The sequence below is a fragment of the Homo sapiens genome, chromosome 14 (assembly GCF_000001405.40).
Source record: "Homo sapiens chromosome 14, GRCh38.p14 Primary Assembly".
NCBI lineage: Eukaryota > Metazoa > Chordata > Mammalia > Primates > Hominidae > Homo > Homo sapiens.
Window position 1 is genome coordinate 74,650,148 of NC_000014.9, and position 22,436 is coordinate 74,672,583.

General features: G+C 43.6%; 1 protein-coding gene, 1 long non-coding RNA gene and 1 pseudogene across 11 annotated transcripts in view; 1 reads left to right on the top strand and 2 right to left on the bottom strand.

Moving 5' to 3' along the window:
- Positions 1-692: 692 nt before the first annotated feature.
- LOC105370567 (uncharacterized) lies at positions 693-7,377 on the bottom strand. 2 transcript variants are annotated; one of them, XR_007064268.1, is made up of 2 exons: positions 6,907-7,377; positions 693-3,351 (listed from the first exon to the last, which is right to left on the bottom strand). It is a non-coding gene; the product is annotated as an uncharacterized LOC105370567 (long non-coding RNA). The 2 variants fall into 2 exon arrangements; XR_007064267.1 differs by having other exon boundaries at positions 693-6,790.
- On the top strand, positions 7,895-8,454 carry LOC100419503 (ribosomal protein S2 pseudogene; annotated as a pseudogene).
- Positions 11,109-22,436, bottom strand: part of AREL1 (apoptosis resistant E3 ubiquitin protein ligase 1) — a 51,825-nt gene continuing 40,497 nt past the window's right edge. For 5 of the 9 annotated variants that reach the window (XM_005268244.4, NM_001437432.1, NM_001039479.2 and 2 more), the window contains 9 exons: positions 21,261-21,336; positions 20,615-20,724; positions 19,800-19,979; positions 19,502-19,627; positions 17,318-17,447; positions 17,172-17,230; positions 14,689-14,778; positions 13,752-13,927; positions 11,109-13,675 (listed from right to left, as the gene is read on the bottom strand). In XM_005268244.4, the coding sequence (XP_005268301.1) occupies positions 13,573-13,675; positions 13,752-13,927; positions 14,689-14,778; positions 17,172-17,230; positions 17,318-17,447; positions 19,502-19,627; positions 19,800-19,979; positions 20,615-20,724; positions 21,261-21,336 (1,050 nt within the window). In that variant the 3' untranslated portion in view covers positions 11,109-13,572. Of the gene's footprint in view, positions 13,676-13,751; positions 13,928-14,688; positions 14,779-17,171; positions 17,231-17,317; positions 17,448-19,501; positions 19,628-19,799; positions 19,996-20,614; positions 20,725-21,260; positions 21,337-22,436 lie in introns of those variants that run through there. The other 4 variants (XM_047432019.1, NM_001437431.1, XM_047432018.1 and 1 more) reach the window with 2 other exon arrangements.

Below are 22,436 nucleotides of genomic sequence, written 5' to 3' on the forward strand. Positions count from 1 at the left end.
GGCCAACAGGGCACATCCAAGATGCAGGTCTGGATTATTTGTCTAGACTTTATGATGTTTGTGGTATTTGCCAGCTTTTTAAGTTTTAGGATTTGTTGTGATTTTTTTTTCTTATTTCAAAATTTTCCTTCATATTTAATTTTGTATTCTTTTTTTTTTTTAAAGGGATCCCAAAATTATGTAAGCTTTAGGCAACAGAAGACCTCGGTAGGTTTTGAGCATCTGAGGACTGAGAGGCTTTTTCACAGACTAGCTTCTAGCTCCATACTTTTCTTTTTAATATACAGGGTCTCACTCTGTCACCCAGGCTGGAGTGCAGTGGCACAAGCACGGCTCACTGCAGCCTCAACCTCCCAAGCTCAGGTGACAGGTGATCCTCCCACCTCAGCCTCATGAGTAGCTGGGATTACAGGCGCCTGCCACCATGCCCGTCTAATTTTTGTATTTTTTGTAAAGACAGGGTTTCACCATGTTGCCCAGGCTGGTCTCGAACTCCTGGGCTCAAGTGATCTGCCCACCTCATCCTCCCAAAGTGCTGGGATTATAGGCGGGAGCCACCACACCCCACCTGGCTCCATACATTTCAACTCTTGTTTTTCCTCTCCTGTCTTCATACTTCTGGTCCCAATGTGACAGCTGCTGATCCTGCACCTGCCACTGTGTCAGGTGAATCAGCACAGTGTATGGTGGAATTATTTCTACAAGCCATTTATAATCAGGACAGTTAGCAATAAATATACTACATGACATACACATATTACATACAACCCAACGGAGTGTTTTCCCAACATAACCAAATGAATATATTACAGAAGGCCCAACTGAGTATATTCCCAACTCAAATTCCTTTAGTCATACTCCCAAATGCCACAGCCACCTCACCACAGCCTGACATGAAGGGAGGTGTGACAGATAAGAAATCAGGGTGGAGACTGACTACAGTTAAATTTTTTTGGGAGGAGACAGGGTCTTGCTATGTTGCCCAGGCTGGAGTGTGGTGGCTATTCACAGGTGTGATCATAGTGCACTACTCTCTCAAACTCCTGGGCTCAATTGATCCACCTGCCTCAGCCTCCCAAGTGCTGAGACTACAGGTGCATACCACCACACCTAGCTATAGTTTTTTGGTTTTTTTTGTTTGTTTGTTGTTTTTACCTTAGCAAATACTATGACTTTGAAAAAAAATATGACCTTGGAAGGAACTCCTGTAGGTGAGCGGCCCTCAATGTAAGCCTCATTAGCTTCTCAGGAAACTGGCCTCTGGTAGCTGGACTTGCTGTGAGGCTTGGGCACATAATATTTTAAGGTCTGTAAGTTTTAGCCACATCCTGGGTGTGTGTGTAAGGGAGGAGGGTGGCTCAGAATTGTTCTGGGCTCTTCATTTCCTCAGTGCCCTTCAACTCTGAATCCATGTCAGGAAGACCCTGGCAAGACTGAGGAGGGAGAGCAAATGGTAACTATGGCCATAACTGACAGTGAGTTTGGCCCCTGAGGTTGGACTTAGTAGCAGGAGACATCAGTATTCCAAAAGCCCAATCACTCCTCTTCTTTTGCATTTTCCTTTAGTTTAGTCCTTTAATTTTTTAAACCAAAGTTTCTTCTGAAAAAATTCTTGGTTTGTCTTTGCTGAATGGAAGAGCAAAGGAATTTAGCTATACCCAGGTCAGGCCAAGGTCAGTACCAGTGGACGTGGGAGAGGCAATGTTGGAATTAAGAGGATGTTTTGTGATTTACAAAACACTATTCACATCCATTGTCTCATTTAAGCTTTACGTGCCCTCTGTCGGGTACACTTGTACGTTGTTAGAATCACTATTTCCCAGTTAAAGTTAAGAGCGACTAAGCAATTTATGCAGAGTATACACCTAGGCAGTGGCAAGTCAGAAATTTGAACCCAGATCTTCCAAATTCAAATCCACAACATAACCAAAGACAACTGTGGATAGTGGTTTACTATTGCTAACTACTAATTTTTTTTTTTACACTTAGTGTCAGACACAGTACCGGCACTTTTCATGAGTTCTCTTATTTAATCCTCATATCCTCTGGCACGAGCCAGGTTTGAAGGATGGGGAGGTAGCAGGGAGGAAGGACGGGATGGGCCTCATTCCTTGCAGAGTGCACAGAACAAGTAAAGGAACAAAGGCAGGAACGAGCTGAGATGGTTCAGACCACGTTCACTGAGAGCTGGTGGTGCTTCACAGCCACCGTCCTTGGGCCTCTGGCCTGGTCAGGTAAGCCTCCTAGAACCTTTCATCTTAGTAAAAATGGGCTGTGCCCATGGAAAGTGGCCTCTGGCTCAGCCCTGGAAGCAACAGCTGGAAGAGGCCTGTGGCCTGTCACTATCCACACGGTTGCTTCTCTGCAAGACAGAGGCCCGCCACGGTGAGCTGGTCTGTCCAACCAGCTCCTGAGTTGCCAGTCAAATGATGGGCTCGGCCTCAGCGCTCAGCTTTGAAGTTTAATGGGGATCCTGGTAGCCCACAGGTCTTGGCCAGATCTTGCCCTTTAGTAAGTGTCTTCTTCCACTTCCCATCAGGGGCCTGGAGCCTGGCCAACTCCCTGAGGCATCTCTCCCAGCTTATTTGGATTGAGGGATGGAGGGTGCCTCCTGCCCTGGAGAGGGAGGTGGAGAATGGAACCCGTACCCTGATTGGGAAACAGAAACCTCAGGAGGCACCAGGCAGCAGGACTGGACAAAGAAGTGCCGGCCAGACTGGCTCCCTGGGGTCCCAGAAGTCACAGACCTACACAATGTCTCCCTGGGTTAGAGGATGAACAGAACACTAGCAACTCTCTTACCAGTGTTCTCCAGACTTGTCTGTCCTGCCCCTAACTCCACCTCCTTTGGGCTTGTGTGAGAAAACGTGTCAGAGCCAATTTGACACCTACATCCATCCACTGGACATGTAATCCTGCGCAACTTACTTCTCTGTACTTCAGTTTCCTCATCTGTAAAATGGGAATAATGATTGTCTTCAGCTTATAGAATGATGTGAATATTAAATGAATTAACACAGACAAAGTGCTTAGAATAGGGCCTGGCACAGAGTAAGCATGTATTAGATGTTGGCTGCTATTATTATTATTATTACAAGAGTTCTGAGATTACTCCCTTAGGCCCCAGTATTTTCCTCTGGGGTGTTTTTTGTCACTTTCTGTCACTTAAAATGGATTGAGATTTTAGGGCAAACACTGGAGAAGCTTCTCAATTCCTCCTAATGGGCCTGCTGAGGGTGCCGTGGCTGACTGTGGGCACCGGCTTGCTGCTCCTCTCCTGGCCGCCTCCAGTTCCAGGCTGCTTTTGCTGCTCTGCCTCACTGGTCTGTTCGGAGTATCCACAGCTGCTAGCTGGAGAAGCGGTGTTAATACCTCATTAGCACCTTCGGCTGCTCCTTGTGGGCACTAATCACTTCAGTTTGCTGCCTCTGGAGTGACTCTGTGCTGCCTTTGAAAAGCAGGCCATGTGATGGCGCAGAGACTTCTCCAGCTGGTCCCAATTCCCTCCCTCAGATTGTTACTTTTACCCAGGAAGTGAAACAACTTACTGTTTACATTTTGTATACACACACACACACAAATATAAAATTTTTTAATAGATCAAATCCTTACTCCTTCATCAGGACCTGAAACTAAACCTGTAAGCAGCTTCTTCCAGAGCCTTCCTCTTCTTCCCCAGTCCACACCTGCAGACCTGCCCCTCACCCGTGCCACCCGCGGTTTGTACAGGAATCAGACAAGAAGGCAAGGGCCCGAATTGGAAGCAGATGTTTGGGACGATGAGTGAGGTTGGGGTGGAGACAATAGGAAGGACGTAGACCCTGCTAGAGCTGCTTGTTGCTCTGACATACCGCCAAGGCTCAGAAAAATAGAGTGACTGTTCCTGGTTAAATACCCAGCTGTTACTCGTGCCAAACTTTCCTGGGCCTCAATCCTCAGAGTCTCTGGCTCTGCTTCCAAAGTTCTCCATATCCTCATGCCAACCACTATCTTGGCCCCTTCTTCCCACCATGCCAAGCCCCCAAGACCAGCCATACCCCTAAAAGTCAGGACTGGAGTTTTACTCACCCCGCCCCACAAAGCTAACCCACGATGCCATTTTTTTGAAGCCTAAACTCAAGATATGGTCTGACAAAAGAGGTTTTGCTGATTCTGGGTGTGAGAGTCTACTGGAAGACATGGCTTGGACGCCAAGACCACAGAGTTTTCAAGGTTTAGAGGGATGATAGGTCAGAATTGTTAAACCAGACCACTGCGGAGTATGCAGATGGGTGGCTGTTGACTGCACCCACTTTAGAACATCTCCAGAGCTGCACATGAGCCTGCCAGGAGCCAACAGCACATTTGTCTACCCTGACTGTGACATAAAATGCTAGATCTATAGGAGAACACCCAAGTTTAATTCCATTGTTTTGATTTTTCAAGGAGACACAAGTTGGCATCATCATGAACAAGGTTTCAGAGAAATCCCATTGGAAAGAGAGGCTAAATAACTGGTTTTCTAAAGGCGATGGCCTGACCCAACCCCTATCCAGAGCTGTGATCCCAGTCAGAAGCTTAGGACATCAACTTTAAGATCTGCCCAATCCCCAGGAGGAATAGATGTCAGCTGCTGTATACGACAGAGAGATAACCAGGGACTCTAGTTTCCTGGTTTAATATTAAGGGAAATTCCACTGAAGCTCAGTGTTTCCACCCATAGTGGTCACAACCAACCAATTTCATGGGTGTTCATAAAATTGATTTGCCTTTTCACGCCTCTGAGTTTATTGGAAATGGTATTCCTTTGACTTTCCTCTGCCACACTGATTATAACCATAGCACAAACCCTTTGATTGCTATTAGTGTTGGAGATACCTCCCTCTCCCCATCCACTCAAGATTCTAATTTCATTCACTGAGCTGCAGGCTATTGGCCAGTTCCCTATTGCCAAAGTCAACACTTCCGGTCTGCTTTGTCTGGGAGAGCAGATTAAAGGGAGAGTGGGCCCTAAGATTACCGAGTCCCCTTTCCCAGGCTGTCCCAGGACCTGCCCAAGTGATGGCCTATTTATGGCACAATAATGCGCTTGCTCCTTGGGTCTCTTGGTTTGGAATCTATCTTTACAAGGGTTCTTTCTTCTCTGAAAATCAACAGGGAGAGAGTAACTTCCCTCTCTGTAGGAAGCTAGACTAATTTCACTTGTAGCAACAGCAACTCTATAATATAGAAAGTCTCCAAATACATAAAGAAATGCTCCCCACCAAGTAAACAGGAGAAACTATTGAAGGGGGGGACAGTGGTGATGGGTTTGGGTGCCCAAGCTTCAGGAGAAGGAAACTCTAAGGAAAATAGATTGTTTATATCTGTCTCCCAAGATTGTAAGCTTCTCAGAGGCCAGGATCACATTCTACCTTGTGTGTCCCTAGCTCCCCGCACAGTGCTTGATACATAGGAAACGTCTGCTGAAATGCAGAGCTGCACAGAACTCAAGAAAAAAAAAGGGAGGCTACAAACCCAGGGATGGAACAGAAATACCTGACTGGGAGGGGAGGAGGTTAGGAAATGAAATGACAACTTAGAGCAGGATTGGACGTAGGAGACCAAGCACAAAATGATGACACACACATAATCTTCCTCTTGCACAATAACACAACATTTTGTTTTCAACATAACATAAAAGCCATCAAAGGCTCTCTAGCTGGCTTGCAAATACTCTGATATCCCTGACTCTGCTAATGGGCAAACAGAGGAATGTCTTGGCAACTCCCTCAAGTGGGAGTTCTGAGGAGAGAGGAAACATTGTTGGTCTGTAGAAGAAGGGAAGATTCAGAAAAACTCCTTTATGTGCAAATCCATAATGCAGGTGAAGTGGGGGGTTGCAGAAAGAGCGACTTCACTCAAGAGAGTTACAGAAACCCCCTCACCCTGGAAAAGATACTATGCTTATGGTTTCAACAGAATAGTTTCATAGTATCTTCACAGTCTTGTTTAGGGTGTGTGTTGTCTCCCTTTAACTCTGGCATTCTTGAAAATGTTTGCTTCCTCAGTGAGATATCCACCAGGAATTTGGCCTTTGCCAAATGGTGCTATTTCATATGAGCAGAGTTTAGAGACAAAAGATTTATTCCAATAAGTCTTTTTCTGCAGACTTAATTACCAGAGATAAACATCAGGGTATTATGTAACATATCTGACCTCATTATTTCATTTGATACCTATTGAGTTTCCACCAAAGCAAGGATACTAAAATTTCAGGGCCTTTTTCCTCAGTTATATCCTCAAGGGTGTCTTGTATTCTTTATATAGAATTCACTTAAACTTGGAAGTCACTTTGCTCATTAGTTGGTAGTCTAAGGAACTTTCTACATGCAAAAGATTCTAAAGCCATTACTAATAGCTGTATCTCTTAAAATCTCTCTACCCTGCATGAGTAGGGCCTTTTCCCATAAATCCCAAATCCCCAAGTGACTGATAGGTAAGCCAAGGTATAAAGTGTTAATCTGTCACACACAGCATCACCAAGTGAACAAGGCAGAGTCAGCGAGCACAGTGGCCCAGTGCCTGGGCTGTTTCTTAGTCTAAACTAATCTGCTAGAGACAAACCAGAAATGTGGAGTTTGGGCTTCGACACGAAACAGACCCATGTTCAAATACAGCTCTACCACTTGCCAGCTAAGAAACCTTGGCAGTTACTTATCCTCTGTGTGCCTCAACTGTGTTTTGTGTAAAATGGAGAAAACAAGACATACCTTGCAGGGTTGTTGTGAATGAGACAATAAATACTAAAGCTCCTAGCATATGGGAAGAGCTAAAAAAAAAAAAAAAAAATGGTAGCTATTATCATGATTCAGTAATCAGGTGAATTAAAGGAAGTCAAGGTTCCTACCACATGACATAGGATTGAGATACAGCTCCCTCAAATACCTCTTCCGTCCTTACAGGATCATGCAAAGGAGGAAGTCTCTTCTGACTTGGTGTCTTCTTCATGAATGTTTGGGCCAGGTGTCTTGAGTACTCATTCTCTCTGGCCTGCCTGGACACGGCAAGGTGAAAAACAGAGTCACCACCCCCTGGGAATTTCCACACCAGTCATCGACTCTAGCATTCTCAACTGCCCCCAGACCCATACAGCCTCCTGCTACAGAAACTACCAGGGCCCTAAGTCACAGTCAGCATGGTAACACACATACTATATATAGGAAAACTTTTTTCCCAAGAACTCTTAAGTTATTAGTCGATTTTCTTAATTGGTTAATAGCATCATTTTGCAGGTCAGGAAACTGATACTGAAAGAAGGTTGTCTTGCCCAAAGTTGAACCACGGGAGTTAAAAATAAAAATATGAACATTTGGCTGGGCCCCATGGCTCATGCTTGTGATCCCAGCACTTTGGGAGGCCGAGGCAGGCGGAATACCTGAGGTCAGGAGTTCAAGACCAGTCTGGCCAACATGGTGAAACCCCGTCTCTACTAAAAACACAAAAATTAGCCAGACATGGTGGCACACACCTGTTATTCGGGAGGCTGAGGCAGGAGAATAGCTTGAACCTGGGAGGTGAAGGTTACGGTGAGCTCTGAGATCATCCCACTGCACTCGAGCCTGGGTGACCAAGTGAGACTCTGTCTCAAAAAAAACAAACAACAAAACAAAAAAACAAAAAAAATTCAAGCCCATCAATTCATGGTTTTCTATCCTTTGAGGGTCCCATTTTGCAAACTTGATGCAAACGTGTCCAACGGTACCTTCTTCGAGAAAACACCCAGTGACACGAGATGCCTATCCTGCAAGGAGTGCTGGAGGCCCAGGGCCCCTAGAGTCAGAAACATAGGATACAAGTAAATTCCTGTCAACAGGATGGACCATCTGGTAGAGGACATAATGAGGTTTATAAAGAAGCCTCCTCTCCTACCTCCAAGACTGACTTCTTCCTAGAGTCATACCTAAAAGATGAACTCCTAAAACCTCACTTGGAAATTTGCCTGGTTTGCCAGGTGAACCTGGTCTCAGGCATTCACAGCCATCACAGACTACAAAAGCCATGGTGGCCTGCTTATTATTGGGTATTCCAGGGAAATAGCAACACAGGCCTCATCTGGATAAACTATCCATCATCTCCCTGAAGGGAGGCTACAAGGGGAACTAGATGGGGAGTCCCACTCTGTTCTTGCAAGGTGACTGGATGCTATGATTCTGTGCTGGTGTGTCTGATCCCTATCCCTAGAGGTACCAACATTGCCACTATCCCATGGTTAAGAAGCTGCTGCTGGCTAGTATTGACAAGTCAGGGCTATATCGACAGCCTGAACAACTGTGCTAAAGCCACCTCTGATACCATATTGAAAAACCTACAGGTATCATTCCTTGACTTCTGGAAAGAGACTGTGTTCTCCACATCTCCTTCCAGGAATTAACTGCCCATCTTATAGAGACCACACCTGAATTCACTCCAGAGAACCAGGTCCCTGCTGTGGCTATCATAAAATGTCCTTATATGAGCAAAATTAAAGCAAACTAAATCCGGGAGGGGAAAAAAGGGATATTTATAACAAGGTATATCTGAACTCTAGGCAGCACCACTCTATTGGATACAAACCAAGGTCAACATGACCTGCAGATCTCTAAATCCACCCTCCTGTACTCCAAATAAAAGCTAAAAAACAAAAACAAAAAAAACTAAGCTCACCAATAACTTTGGGATAGCTGTTAGGTGGTGTGCAGACTCAGTATTCTGAGTTAGAAATACTAGCCTATTCCACAATTTTTGAGACATTTTAGTGCTGAGTCATTTTTAATACTACTACACATACATGATACTCAAGAATTTCCTGCTGACCAGCCTACAAAAACTGCTTAGGGTTTAGGGTATAAAAACAAAGGAGATCCAATTTGGAGTATCTGGAGGAAAAATCTTTACAGAAATAAGATACTTTATAGTCTTAGAATAATTAATCAGATTCAGCATCAGGAATCCAGACTAGATTCTCACAGGGCAATTATGGCCTCAGAAGACTTTTCAAACCAATTATGAGGTCTAGAAATTACTATGGAGAAACTGACCTTGGTTAGCTTCTTATCATGACACACGTGGGCTCTTTTTGCCCCTCTCCACTTTTTTTTTTTTTTTTTTTTTGAGACACAGTCTTGCTCTGTCGTCCAAGCTAGAGTGCAGTGGCGCGATCTCGGCTCACTGAAAGCTCCACCTCCTGGGTTCACGCCATTCTCCTGCCTCAGCCTCCCGAGTAGCTGGGACTACAGATGCCCGCCACCACGCCCATTTAATTTTTTGTATTTTTAGTACAGATGGGGTTTCACCGTGTTACCCAGGATGGTCTTGATCTCCTGACCTCATCATCCGCCCGCCTCGGCCTCCCAAAGTGCTGGGATTACAGGCGTGAGCCACCGCACCCAGCCGCCCCTCCCCACTATTAACGTGAGGACAGGCTGTTTGAAAAGGGGCCTGGTGAAATAATGATCATAAGTCAGGACAGTAGTTACCTTTAGTGGGATGGGACGAGAGTGTGCTCTGCAGTGCTGCAATGTTTTATTTCTTGACCTGGATGGTGGCTATTTGTGCATTTCCTATTACTCATAAGTTACACATGTTAATACCTTTTTTATACATACTGTGTCTCAAAATAAAAGAAAAAAGGAATTTTAGTATCCTGTAATACTTTTACTATTCCACATTATCTGGAACTGGTTTATTATGCTTGAAGGTCTATGTGAAGCCAGAGTAGAGGGAAGGAGCCCTTAGGGTTCAAGCCACTTGCTGGAGAACCTCGCTGTGGTCCTGACAGCGAAAACTGGGGCTGGAGAGAGGTTTCAAAGCTCTATCTACAATAGCTCAGAGGCAATAGTATACAAGAAGCTGAAGCTAGTATTTATGGAGTCATAAGAATGACTTGATAGGCTAAAATCACTCATTGGATCAATGTTCATAGTGACCTATTCAAAGCCACAACAGCAAGTGTATAAGATACAAATAACCTTAAAATGTACAGTTAGAAGGACAGAATTTTAAGACCTTTTTTGTTTTTAAGAGACAGTGTCTTAGCCAGGCACGGTGGCTCATGCTAATCCCAGCACTTTTAGAGGTGGGTGGATCACTTGAGCCCAGGAGTTCAAGATCAGCCTGGGAAACATGCCAAAACCCCACCTTTTCAAAAAAAAAGAGAAAGAGAGACAGTGTCTCGCTCTGTCACCCAGGCTAGAGCACAGTGACACAGGCATAGCTCACTGCAGCCTCGAACTCCTGGGTTCAAGTGACCCTCCTGCCTTGCAGTGTTCCAAAGTACTGGGATTATACATATGAGTCACTGTGCCTGGCCCTTTAAGATATCTCATATCACTCAGGAGCTTGATGAGGTAAGAGGAGAATGCACTGTTTGGGGTGGGGGCAAGGATCTGTTTTGTTTTGTTTTTAAATTCAAAAGGGAATTTTTTTAACATTTTCCAGATTGGGAACCAATATACAAGACATCATAATTACTTTCCCAAGAAAGTCAGGGTCCTTAATACTACTCCTTCTAGGCCCAAATCAGAGGTCTGTTTTTTTTCTTCTCTTCCAAGCTTACCTTTGTAAGCTGAAAAGAATCGGTAAGACTTGCCGCCAACAAACTTCTTAGGAGCAGTATTTTTGTTTGCCACTCCCAAACCCCTTGTGGGTGAGGGAGATGTTGGGAGACAAATGTGTGCTTAAATATGAAAATCAAAAGGCTATTTATCAAAGTGTTAACGGTGATTACCTCTGGATAGCAACTTACCTATTTCCCTTGTTCTTTTTCTTATTTCCAAATTTTCTATATTGAATTTCTAGGTAGTAAAACAACAATGAATTATTGTTTAAAGACTGATTAACCGGTTCCTTCTTCAGAAACTGAGCATAAACACTTGTCCTCGTCTCCCCATGGCTGAGACAGTGGCCCTGCCTGGCACCATGGACAGCAATCAGGGAAGGGTGAAAGGGCAAGAGTGGGACAGGCCAGGACTCCAGGTGTACACTCTACCCCGAGCCGACCACTTCAGGAGGAATTCCTGGGGAAATGCAAAATCATTTCCAAATCTTTTCCTTCCCCACCTTCCAGTCAAGCCATGAATCTCCATTTAAAGCAGCCACTCACTCCTTAGTTCTTTTAAACATTTATTTATCTACTGTACAAAATATTTACATCATCAGCTGCAACTGCCTGGCCCTTTCACCTGGCCTGACGAATCTGCAGCAGGGCTTGGTCTCTGCCAATTTTCCAGAAACATGCTGACACTCTCCTAGGTATTCACTCATGTCTGGTCTCCTTCAAAGACGCTAAAAGGCCAGAAGGGTAGCTGGCCCCCCAAGTACCTGGGTCACAAGGACATAAATAAAAGAACTGGCCAAAATAAGAAACACTAATAGAAAATTGCCCAAGAAATAACACTCTCTCATCTCTTTGACATATTGTACCTTTTCCCCACACTGGCTAGTATGAAAGCAGGATTAGAAAAAAAAAAAACAAAACAGTAAAAGAAAAGGCCCAAGAGAGCAAAGATACTTTTGAATAGAGTTCAGACAGAGAATAGAAAACCACAATAGTGCCAAAGGGTTTTGTTTAACAAAGACTGGTGCCTAAGGACCACCACAGGGATGCAGCTTCCCTGGTTGGGTTGCAATGGTGCCTAAGATGCTCTGAAAAAGTGCTATGACTAGAGCTTAAAATGACAGGTCTAGCCAAGACAATCAACTCAATCTCCAGGATCAGTCTCTGGAAGGCTGCCGGAGGGGAGAATTCAGAAAAGCGACTGCCAAAAACAGCAGAACCAGTCCACGTGCCCCCAGCTGGAAACCCCTTTCTGGGCCCAAGGGGCAGCATTATGTTTCCCAGGGTGGTGATAAACCTTCCGGTACATATCCCATGGGAAAACATTTGGGCAAGCAGCAGCACCTTGTCCTGGTCCCTGAGGAGAGCAGTGACCATGTGGCATGGAGGATCCTGGGGTATAGAGACCCTGATGCTGGATCCCGGACCCCAAGGATGAGTGAGGTCAGCACCCATGTGCCAAGAAAGGACAAATGATGACTGCGAAAGACTGAGGTCAGGCAGGAACTGTAGCAGCTCAGGAGGGCTTGTTCCTCATGATCCCTGCGAACAGGAGGGCTCAGACATGCTTCCAGGAGGCCAAGGCATTGCCAAAGTCCTGCCTTGTTTCAGGACTCTGTGTACTTGCTGGTTTTGGCAATAAAGATGGCTTGTAATATTCTCAGAGTTGACTGCCCCATTGGGAATGGTAGCTTGCAGCAAAGCCTTCTTAAAAACACAAATTTGGGAAGTCAATGAGATTTTGAATCTTGAAATTATTTTCAATCAAACAGTAATGAAAAAGGATGTTGTCATCTTCCAAGATACAGCAGCAGGTACTCTTCAATCATCATTCAACAGTGAACCTAATAAGCTTCCTCCCTCCTTAGTTCTCCTTCCTGATAACTGATGGAGCAAAGGGGAGTACAGGGGTTGGCAGGTGTTTACTGTGTAACATATCACCTCCATGTTCATCCCTAGTGTCCTGACGCCAAGGACCTGTGATAAGCACGTAAACTCCTAGTCCCTGTTCCTTTGTCTTAGTGCTGCCAGAGAACACCAAGCAGAGAGAGAATCAGGGATTGCTGGCATACTATTCTTACTGTTCTAATCTTTTGCTACAAAATTTTCTTCAGTAGAATGCTAAAGGATCCCCAGCTTTTAGCAGACTACATAATGGGGAAGTCAGTGGCCCAAGCCGGCCATACTTCAGTGCCAATAACAAACTCAGGGAAAAGCATCAGTAGTCTCCAAGCCAGCCATATGCCTAGGCATGCCCCACTCTGGAGGCTACAGCTCAGCTATCCTTCATATTCTTCAGTCTATCTGCTTTTCTCACTGGCTACAATTCAAGAAAAAGCTTACAGAGTTCTTCTTTGTGGATTAATAATCATTTCCAGAAATGCCCGAAGGGAAAGTGCTTTTTCCAGTTCTGACACCACAAAAAAATATTCTTTTTAGCAGTCCTTAGAGGCAGTCCAGTGCCATGGCCTATGCCTACCATTGTGCAGCGGGACTGCTCCTATGGGCCACCTCCTATCTGTCCCCCTCTCTCCTGGCTCCTGATGAGAAGAGGCAATCACCCCACCCATGAGAAGGACTCAAGTACCAGTCTGGTCAAGTAGTGAGGGCCAAAGAGGGTGTCTCCAAGGAGTATCAGCAGAGGGAGTTTTGGAGCACAGTGTGGATTTAAGGGTCTCCACACCAGTTTCCCAACAGGGCTGAGCCCCGTGTGCCATCTCCCTCAGCTACTGAGATCTTCAAAGGACCAAATAAATGATAGCAGCATGGTCCTCTTCTCATGACAGAATGAAGAGCTCAGCTTACATACCATGCCAAAGTGGCCTGTGGTAGATATGGGCAGGGAGCAGGTGAGGTAAAGACAAGGCTTGTAGGTGACAAAATCCTCCAGACACAGGGGAGCATGCGGCATCTTCTGGCTGATGGTTATGTGTGTTAGGATCAGTGGTTATGATGTCTGTAACTTGCGCCCAGAAGCTCCAGAGAGCATGGGAGCCAACTGGATGACAGGAGAGTGGTCAGAGCATGCCAAAGCCCTCGCAACCCTCGCTGATGGCCAGCTGCAGCATCCTGTGCACCTCTTCATAGGAGTCATATGTAGGGAGGCACAGCTGGTTAAAACTGGAAGGGCAAGGGAGAAGTGATTAACTCATACCACCAAAAACACTGGGCATGCATCAGGCGGGCAGATACCTACCATGTGTGTGCAGTAGGCAGCGTGCTATGGGTCGGAGCGGCAATAATCTGAAATGAGGGACAGAGGGCGGCAAAGCCTCCAGGTGGTAGCTGAGAGGAGCCTGTTGTGAACTGAAGTAGCCGAGCCAACTCCTCCTGGGTCAGACTGGAAACCACAGTCCAAAACCACCTCATGACCTGGCAGGGAGAGCACAAGGCTGGGATCACACACAGTAAACAAGCTAGGATTAGATCCCTGGGGAAGGAACAAGATACACTAAAGTGGGGCTGTGCCCCAGTTACCGTTCTATGAGGACACAGGGTAGGAACAGTTTGACAAGCACTTCAAGAATTTACACTGTCACATGATTAGGAGGGTAGTCACTGACTGTTGGTTCTCTTTCTTCGCCATCTCCAATTTACTACTCCTGTGGCAGTCAGCATGACAGCCCTTAGGGATCAGGGCTCCCTTCTGCCTGGACAACCACCTATCTTTCCCCATGCATCATTTTTTTTTCCCAGAAAACATATCAACTGCTTTGACTCCCCTACTTTTTTCTTCTTTTCCTTTCTTTTTTTTTTTTTTTTTTTTTTTGAGAAAGAGTCTCGCTCTGTCACCCAGGCTGCAGTGCAGTGGCGTGATCTCAGCTCACTCCACCTCCTGGGTTCAAGCGATTCTCCTGCCTCAGCCTCTCGAGTAGCTGGGACTACAGGCATGTGCCACCACACCCAGCTAATTTTTTTTTTTTTTTTTTTGTATTGTTAGTAGAGTCGGGCTTTCACCATGTGGCCAGGCTGGTCTCAAAACTCCTGACTTTGTGATCCGCCTGCCTCAGCCTCCCAAAGTGCTGGGATTACAGGCATGAGCCACTGCGCCCGGCCTCCTCTACTTTTTTCTTCTGAAACTTTTTCCTTATAACATGGCACAAATCCAACTGAAAGAAGTTTGGTCCATTTACCTTTTCTCTGAAATGCCATGAGCCACCAACAACTACTGCATGGGCTTTGAAGTCAGACACACTGATGTCTCCAGTCCCACACATCAGCAGCTGGAAAAAGATGGTAAGGTGTTACTATGACAGTCAGAGAGACAAAGACCCAATATAAGGTCAAAATTACCTAAGTTAACAGGCAAAATGTAGAAGAAAACATTACCAGGAAAAAGACAGAAGGTGAGGTCATAATGCCAGAATACTGCTTTAGGAAAATCAATTACATACAACAGGGCAATAGTTGCTAACCAGTGGGTAAAAAAAAGATTCACATGGCTTTTAAAATATATATTTATACAAGTGTTGGTGGCCCTACCTGGGACCTCTAAATCTGAATCTCTCGGAACAGGTTATGAGCTTATACAGGAAGAAAAAAAATTGCTCAGGTATTTCTTTCTTTTCTTTTTTTTTTTTTTTTTGAGACGGAGTCTCACTGTCTCGGCTCACTGCAACCTCCACCTCTCCACCTTGCATGCTCAAGTGATTCTCCTGCCTCGGCCTCCTGAGTAGCTGGGATTACAGGCGAGGTATTTCTGATGAACACCCTAAGAACTGCTACTATGGATTATTTTTAAATGAAACAAAGGACAAAACACACACACACAAACTGTTTCCTGACAGTCTGCTCTAAACTTAGCCTGGGAATATCAAGGAGAAAAGGCAAGCTGTTTCCCCAAAATCCCCAGGCCCATTTATGAATTTGTCAATGACCTTTCCTTTTTCTTAGGATGCATTCTTTTGTGGATTGAACTTTTACTACCTTCCCTTCAGCTTCTGCCTCTACTTGATCAGATACATTTAAAAGTATGCCAAAAAATGAGAACATTAATGACATCAGAGCCTTAAACATCTTGTTAATGTCCTAATTTGGTTCAGGATCCAGCATGTTACTTAGCAGACTGCAAGTACTCATCCAATAGCTATAAAGAATAATACATTCTAACCAGAGACAAGAAGAGCCCAAACTGAGCCTGAGAAGCCTTGGCTCCTTCAAAAAGAACTTGCTAAGCTGACCAGGAACTAAGAGCAGGATGTGGAACAACTGTAAGAGACCATGTCCTTCCTTTCTACTTACTTCTACAAATTGTTACAAATGCTTTGCTTCAAAATGTAACAAAATTTACCAGTAGTTATTCCTCAGCCCAAAAAATAACAGTGCTAGGTAACAGGTTTATCAGAAACTTTAGGCTGAGCTGTGGAGAGTTCATTTTGTTTGGATTTCACATCTGAAGATATAAAACATGAAAATTACAGAAGATTTTGATTCTTGTTCTCAAATCTACTTCAGTTAATAGAAATAAGAATTGGGCAAGACCACCTAAAATTACTTTTTCCCCCATTTTAAAAGAAAACCTTCCTCCCTAAAGAAACGTTTGCAGAAAGACACTCCTCATAGAAACTACGGGAATTTATAACTAGTAACTTGCACTGCACCATTTTGTACTGATGTCTCATCTGTGAGCAACAGGCCACAACAAATTGATGTTATTCTTTGCCCACACCTGATACGGACTTCAGTTCTGCATAGAATGGTATTTACCATCTTAGAGCCATTTTTTAGTTGTTACAGGATCTGAAATAAGAATGAATTTACTATATAAATAAAAATATATACTATATACTGTTTTGGTCTAATGCTTTTGAAATATGATCTCATCTTTTGGTTTGTTTCCTTCACTTCATTAGAATGTAGCCCATGAGGGCTGGAACTTTGTCTTATTCGTTACTCTCTCTGCAGTGCCTCAGGAGGCACTCAATATATACCTGAAAAAATAAATTCTATTACTCCCTTAAATGTCATAGGATTTTATAGACGGTACATGATATTAACATTCTTTACTACTCATTGATTTTTTTTTTTTTTTTTTTGAGACAGAGTCTTACTCTGTTGCCCAGGCTGGAATGCAGTGGTGCGATCTCGGATCACTGCAACTTCCGCCTCCGGGGTTCAAGTAATTCTCATGCCTCAGCTTCCCAAGTAGCTGGGATTACAAGCGTGCATCACCACACCCAGCTAATTTTTGTATTTTCAGTAGAGACGGGGTTTCACCATGTTGGCCAGGCTGGTCTCGAACTCCTGACCTCAGGTGATCCACCCACCTCAACTTCCCAAAGTGCTGGGATTACAGAAGTGAGCCACCATGCCCGGCCTCAGTGATACTTGATGAATAAATGAGTATTAATTATTACTCTTCATAAATAATGAGCTACTTGCTACTTTCATTTATTTATCCCTTAAGCTAATATCTCTGCACTCTTTGCTACTAATTTTCACATTCTAATTTTTTAAAGGCTGAAGGGTCAATGAATGGAGGAGCGACAAAAGTGAAACCACCTCTTGCATAAATGGCTTTCCAGCTGCATCTCATAAGAGAAGGTACACCAAGCTGGTTCCTGTAAGCTACAAAAATGCCAAGTTAAGAATGGGAGTCTGAATTGCAATCACTTACCTCAAGCTCATTCTCATCAAAAATAGCCAAAAGGTTCTCAGGGACCAATTCATTCAGGCCTGAAACAAAGTAGGCAAGTTAAAGTCATACCCACACCATGGATACAGGTATTTTAACTTCAAGGCCAAGAACAGACAGGATCCCACCTTTTAGGAAATGTTCCACCTCCTCTTTCACTTGACTGGCCAGCCGATATTGGGCCAGCAAATTTAAATAGAAGATTTTATTCGCATTGGTGACTGGAGTTTGAGCTCCACCTGTCATGAGTTCTACAACCTGTAACAGGCAGCAAAAGACAGACAAGGGAGAGGCTGTGGATGGAAATTTATGAGATGACATCTGCCTGGATGTTTTATAGACACAGATTACTGACCTCCATCACTGTCAGTCACAAGTTTCTGCTGTGCATTCAGCTTTTCAACACACTTGGTTTAATTTAGTTCCTAAGCTTCAGGGTTCCTACCACTATTGCTGTATACTAGCTATTATTTCTGAAATGGGTGCCTGGGTAAGGTCTTCTCTGACTCAGTCAAGTAGTAGTGATGCAATAGGAAGATACTATGGCTCCTCGCTAGCAATGTTTTAATCTATGATCCAAAATGAAACCACTATTGACCTCTTCTCTAAGCAACTAAGAGTAAAATCAGATAAGCAGTAAGGAAGTCTTTTTATGTCTCAGAAATTCCAAGATGGGAACAATTGTTCCCACACATTCTTTTATCTCTAATGTGAGTCAACAGAACAAGCCACAGTTTGATACTTGAAGATCCTGGATTCTAATCTCAGCCCTGATGCTAGCTTGCTACAGACCTTTGGTTAATTGCCCCTCCAGACCTTAGGGGAAATTATTTGGCCTGAACTTTCCTCTCTGCAAAGAAAAAGGTGAACAAACTGTATGACTCTCAAACAGAATTGGTATCCCCCAATAAACTCCTAAGGGAACTTTGAAGGAGCCCTGAAGCACAGCTTAAAACCATCATCCAGGAATATTTGTGTAGAGTGACCAAGGTTGTCTCCACAGGTGAATGAAGTTACAAGATCAGATTTTAAGACAACAGCATGGTAGCAATAGCATGCTACTCCACAGCAGGGATTCTCAATGGATCTAAAAATGTAAAACATTTTTTCTGTTGGTATGCACAATCCTGGATTTTTTTTTTAATGTAAGCATTTCTATCTAGGAGACTGAGAAATAAATTATTAAGATTTAGTATTCATATTAAACACAATTAAAATGAGCACTACCCTGGGTCTGAGGACCCTAATTCAGTGTCCTATTGACTCTAGCTGCCTTACCATGCCAGCTCAGGAAGTTGGGTCTAATCCCATGTGTACAAAGGCAGACAGCTGGGAATCCCATAATTTCCAGAAAGGATATCTGATTATCAGTATAGTGGTACCAATGGTCACAATTTTTCAATCATTCCTATTCTGCTTTTAACTTTAAATTTACTGCAACTTTAGCGTCATCATTATCATTTGATGCTGTTTAACACCACAATGTAAATAGAAGCACATGCATCGGAAATATCTCTGGGCCATCATTTTCTAATAAAAAGTTTTGGTTTTATTATTTTGAGATAGGGTTTTGCTGTGTCACCCAGGCTGGAGTGCAGTGGTGCAATCACAGCTTACTGCAGCCTTAACCTCCTGGGCTCAAGCGATGTTCCAGCTTCAGCGCCCACTTCCTCCCACACTACCCCAGTAGCTAGGACCACAGGCACACGCCACCATACCCAGCTAGATTTTTAAAATCTAAAAGACAGGGTCTTGCCAAAGTTGCCCAGGCTGGTCTTGAACTCCTGGTCTCAAGCCATCCTCCTGCCTCAGCCTCCCAAAGTGTTGCAATTACAGGCCATGAGCCACTGCGCCCAGCCAAAAAGTTTAAAAATACCCAGGCATTGTGTTAAAATAGGAATCACCTACATCACTACTGCAAATGTTGACACAGACACTGCCATCTCTTCCAAATCTGCTTGTACAGTGACACTTCACCATCATTCAGTTATTTTTCAACTGGAAGCAGGACTCGGTGGGATAGATGGAGATATGTGTCTTTTGCTTCACTCAAATGGGCTGAGATCATAAAGCATAGGATGCAATGTCCTAAAGCTGTGCTGTCCAATACAGCAGCTGCTAGCCAAGTGTAGTTATGTAAGTATACATTAACTAAAATGAGAAGTTCACTTATTATGTCACCCACATTTTGGGTGTTTAATAGACAACACAAATATGGAACATTTCCACCACTGCAGAAAGTTCTCTTAGACAGTCCTGCTCTACAGGAAACTGGAGAACATAGGACCCAGAGGCTTTGTCCTCTTTCTCACCTTATCCAATTGACCTGATTTATTATATTTCTCTTCTGCAAAGACCAGCTCCATCTCACTCATGTCATTGTTGAGGATAAAACAAACTTTAGATTTGTAGAATTCTGGGTCATCTGTTTCAAAGTACTGAGGAGGCAGAAAGACACAGAACAGAACATGAATACTCTTGCCCTGAAAGGTGTAACTGCTTAGAACCACTTATCCCTTCAACCTTAAAAATTATTTACAAGCCCAGGAGGAGAGATTTCAGGGTTAATGGCCAGGGGCCTTAGTAGGAAATGCACACCCAAGATGTTACCTTGTAATGCATACGCAGTCCTATGATTTGGGCCAGGAAAGAGCGGGTGAAGCGAGCTCGGACCAACTGCTTGTAGGCTCCTCCTAGAGAGGACTCATAGAGACACTTGCCCACGAGCCGTCCCGCAAACTCATACATTTTCAGGCGCAGATGAGCGGGGCGATTAGGGTTGGGATGCACCTGTCCAAGAAAGAGACTGAAAGGCCCTGGGCCATTTTTCTTCAAGCCCAGTTCTGGAAGGACCCTTCCTTCCCCAACCCCATGCCAAAGGAACAAGATGTCACTGTGAGGATCAGAGCCCATCCAAATGTTAGTTTTTTGGTAGCCACCACTGAGTAATTCAAAGTGACTAGAAGATAAAGGGCAAAGGTGGACATAATTAAGAATCTTATATTAAGTTTGTGGTTAATCAGCAGATGATGTGATGCCTTTTCCCTAAACCAGAACTTCTTTCAGCCAAAGTGTACTTCTCTACTCCTGACACCTTTGTCTAGACAAAGATCTAGTACAGGAATCATTTGCTTCAGGTATGTTTTGAGAAAGAGGCTTAATTATTATAATAATTAGTAGAGTAGACATTATACTATAATGTTTTTAGTCAAATATTCAGCTGCCTGCATTTTTGCTTATTTTACAGATGAAATAATAAAGGCAAAGAGGAGAAAGACAATCTGATTAGCTTATATTTTAAGCAGTAAAATTAAGAATAGGACACAGGTTGTCAGGTTCCCAGATCAGTTTCATAATTTTGAATCCTTGTTAGTCTACCCATGATAACATAATCCACATTTTCCACCCACCCGTCACCAACTCACTAATGCTTGGTTGTTGTCACTGAACCGGGTGAAGAGCTGATTGGTGGTATCAAATAGTGCTTTGCAGATTAGCTCAAACCATTCCCGGCGAGGCCCTCCCCAGTCCAGAGCTGAAAAGCATAATGAAAATAAAAAATGACTCTGCCCTCCCTCCTCTTACCACTTTTGTTTATTGAGTCATCATTTTATACTCTCCACATTCCCTCTATTGTACTACTCTGGTGTTTCTCCGTTGCGACTCATCTAAACTGTGGTCCTTTAGAAATCCCACCCCTTTTTGTAGGATTAATGGTATTCTGATCACTAAGGAAAAGCCCCCTAGTATGGAAACACCAGAGGTCGGAGATCCCAGGAAATGGACATTTCTCTCAAGGTAACCACGGTTCAAACACTTAGAACTCTCTCTCCAAGTCCCTGTATGTCTGTGTACCACAAGCTCCTCAATGCCATCCTGGCCAGTAAATACTACCCTTTTTTTCTTGACTCATGGTTCCCTTTTCCTTGGGGAAAAAAAAACCTAGGTTTTTTTTTTTAGGGAGTGAGTAGGAGGTAAGAGTTGCTTTTTTTTTTTTTTTTTTTTTTTTGTGGAGAAGGTGCGAGTGGGGAGGAGAGTTCAAAAAGATGAATATAAAATTTCAAAACTGACCTTCTTCATCCTGGAAAACAACCTCAAAGTTCTTGCTCCAATCTGAGATGGAGAAATTCCGAGTGGCTTTCAGAGACTGAAAAGAAGTGAAAGGAAGGGAATTGTCAGAACACTGGCTGGTGTCCTCTGGATGTTAAAGACAACACAAGAGCACTGCCATTGTCTGCTGGACTAACTACGACTGCCTGAAGGAGATATGTTACTCATAAACAAGCTTTAATGATACCACCTGACATTTAAAATGCACATAACTTCAAATTTAAAGTTTTAAAAAATAATCTGATTTGCCTTTACATCATCACTTTGTTGGAAAGCTGAAGTTGTTTTTTTCTTTTCCTTTTGTTTTAAACAATCCTTGTTTTAGCAATGAAAACATTCTTGCATAAAGAAGTAAAAAATGACTCAAGTCAGTAAGCTGTAGGCAAAAGAACCAAGGAATCCTGGTTTTCAGCAAAGTATGATCTATCCACTAGACATATTTATCCACAAGGCTAGGTTCAGACAGCGAGCCATGCCACACGGAGAATATGGCTGAGAAAACGGGTTTCCAGTCACACCTACCAGAGCCAAACATCACAAACACTTTCTGGACAGGAACCAAGCCTTCTCATTCCTGGGGAATGTAAGAACTATGCCAGTGTCTGTGCAGTGGAGACAGACACACATCAGGTGTTCCTTTTCCATCAGACCAAAGTGACAACAAAAATCATTTCCTTTTAATTCAACAAGCGCTCTATTCCAGGGATTCAATAACAAGAAGTTTCTTCTGTAATCACTATTTACACCTGCCCTACATGGGAGTTCCAAGGGACCCATTCAGTAGATTTGAAGGCCAGTAAGTAAACTGCTCTTCCCTCGATAACATACCTCCAACAAAACTGCCCCAAATTTAGTAGAATCAAATAGAAGAACAGACATATGTAAAGAGAGAAATTTAGGTTTCAGAAATTTAGTATATCTGTCTTTTATAAGTATATCTGTCTTTTATAAGTATATCTATATCTTTACTTAAACAGAGAAATTTAAGTTTCATGAAAAAGATAACCAGATCAGGCATGGTAGCTCATGCCTGTAATCCCAACACTTTGGGAGGCTGAGGCGGGTGTATCACTTGAGTCCAGGAGTTCGAGACCAGCCGGAGCAATATGGCAAAATCCCATCTTTACAAAAAATACA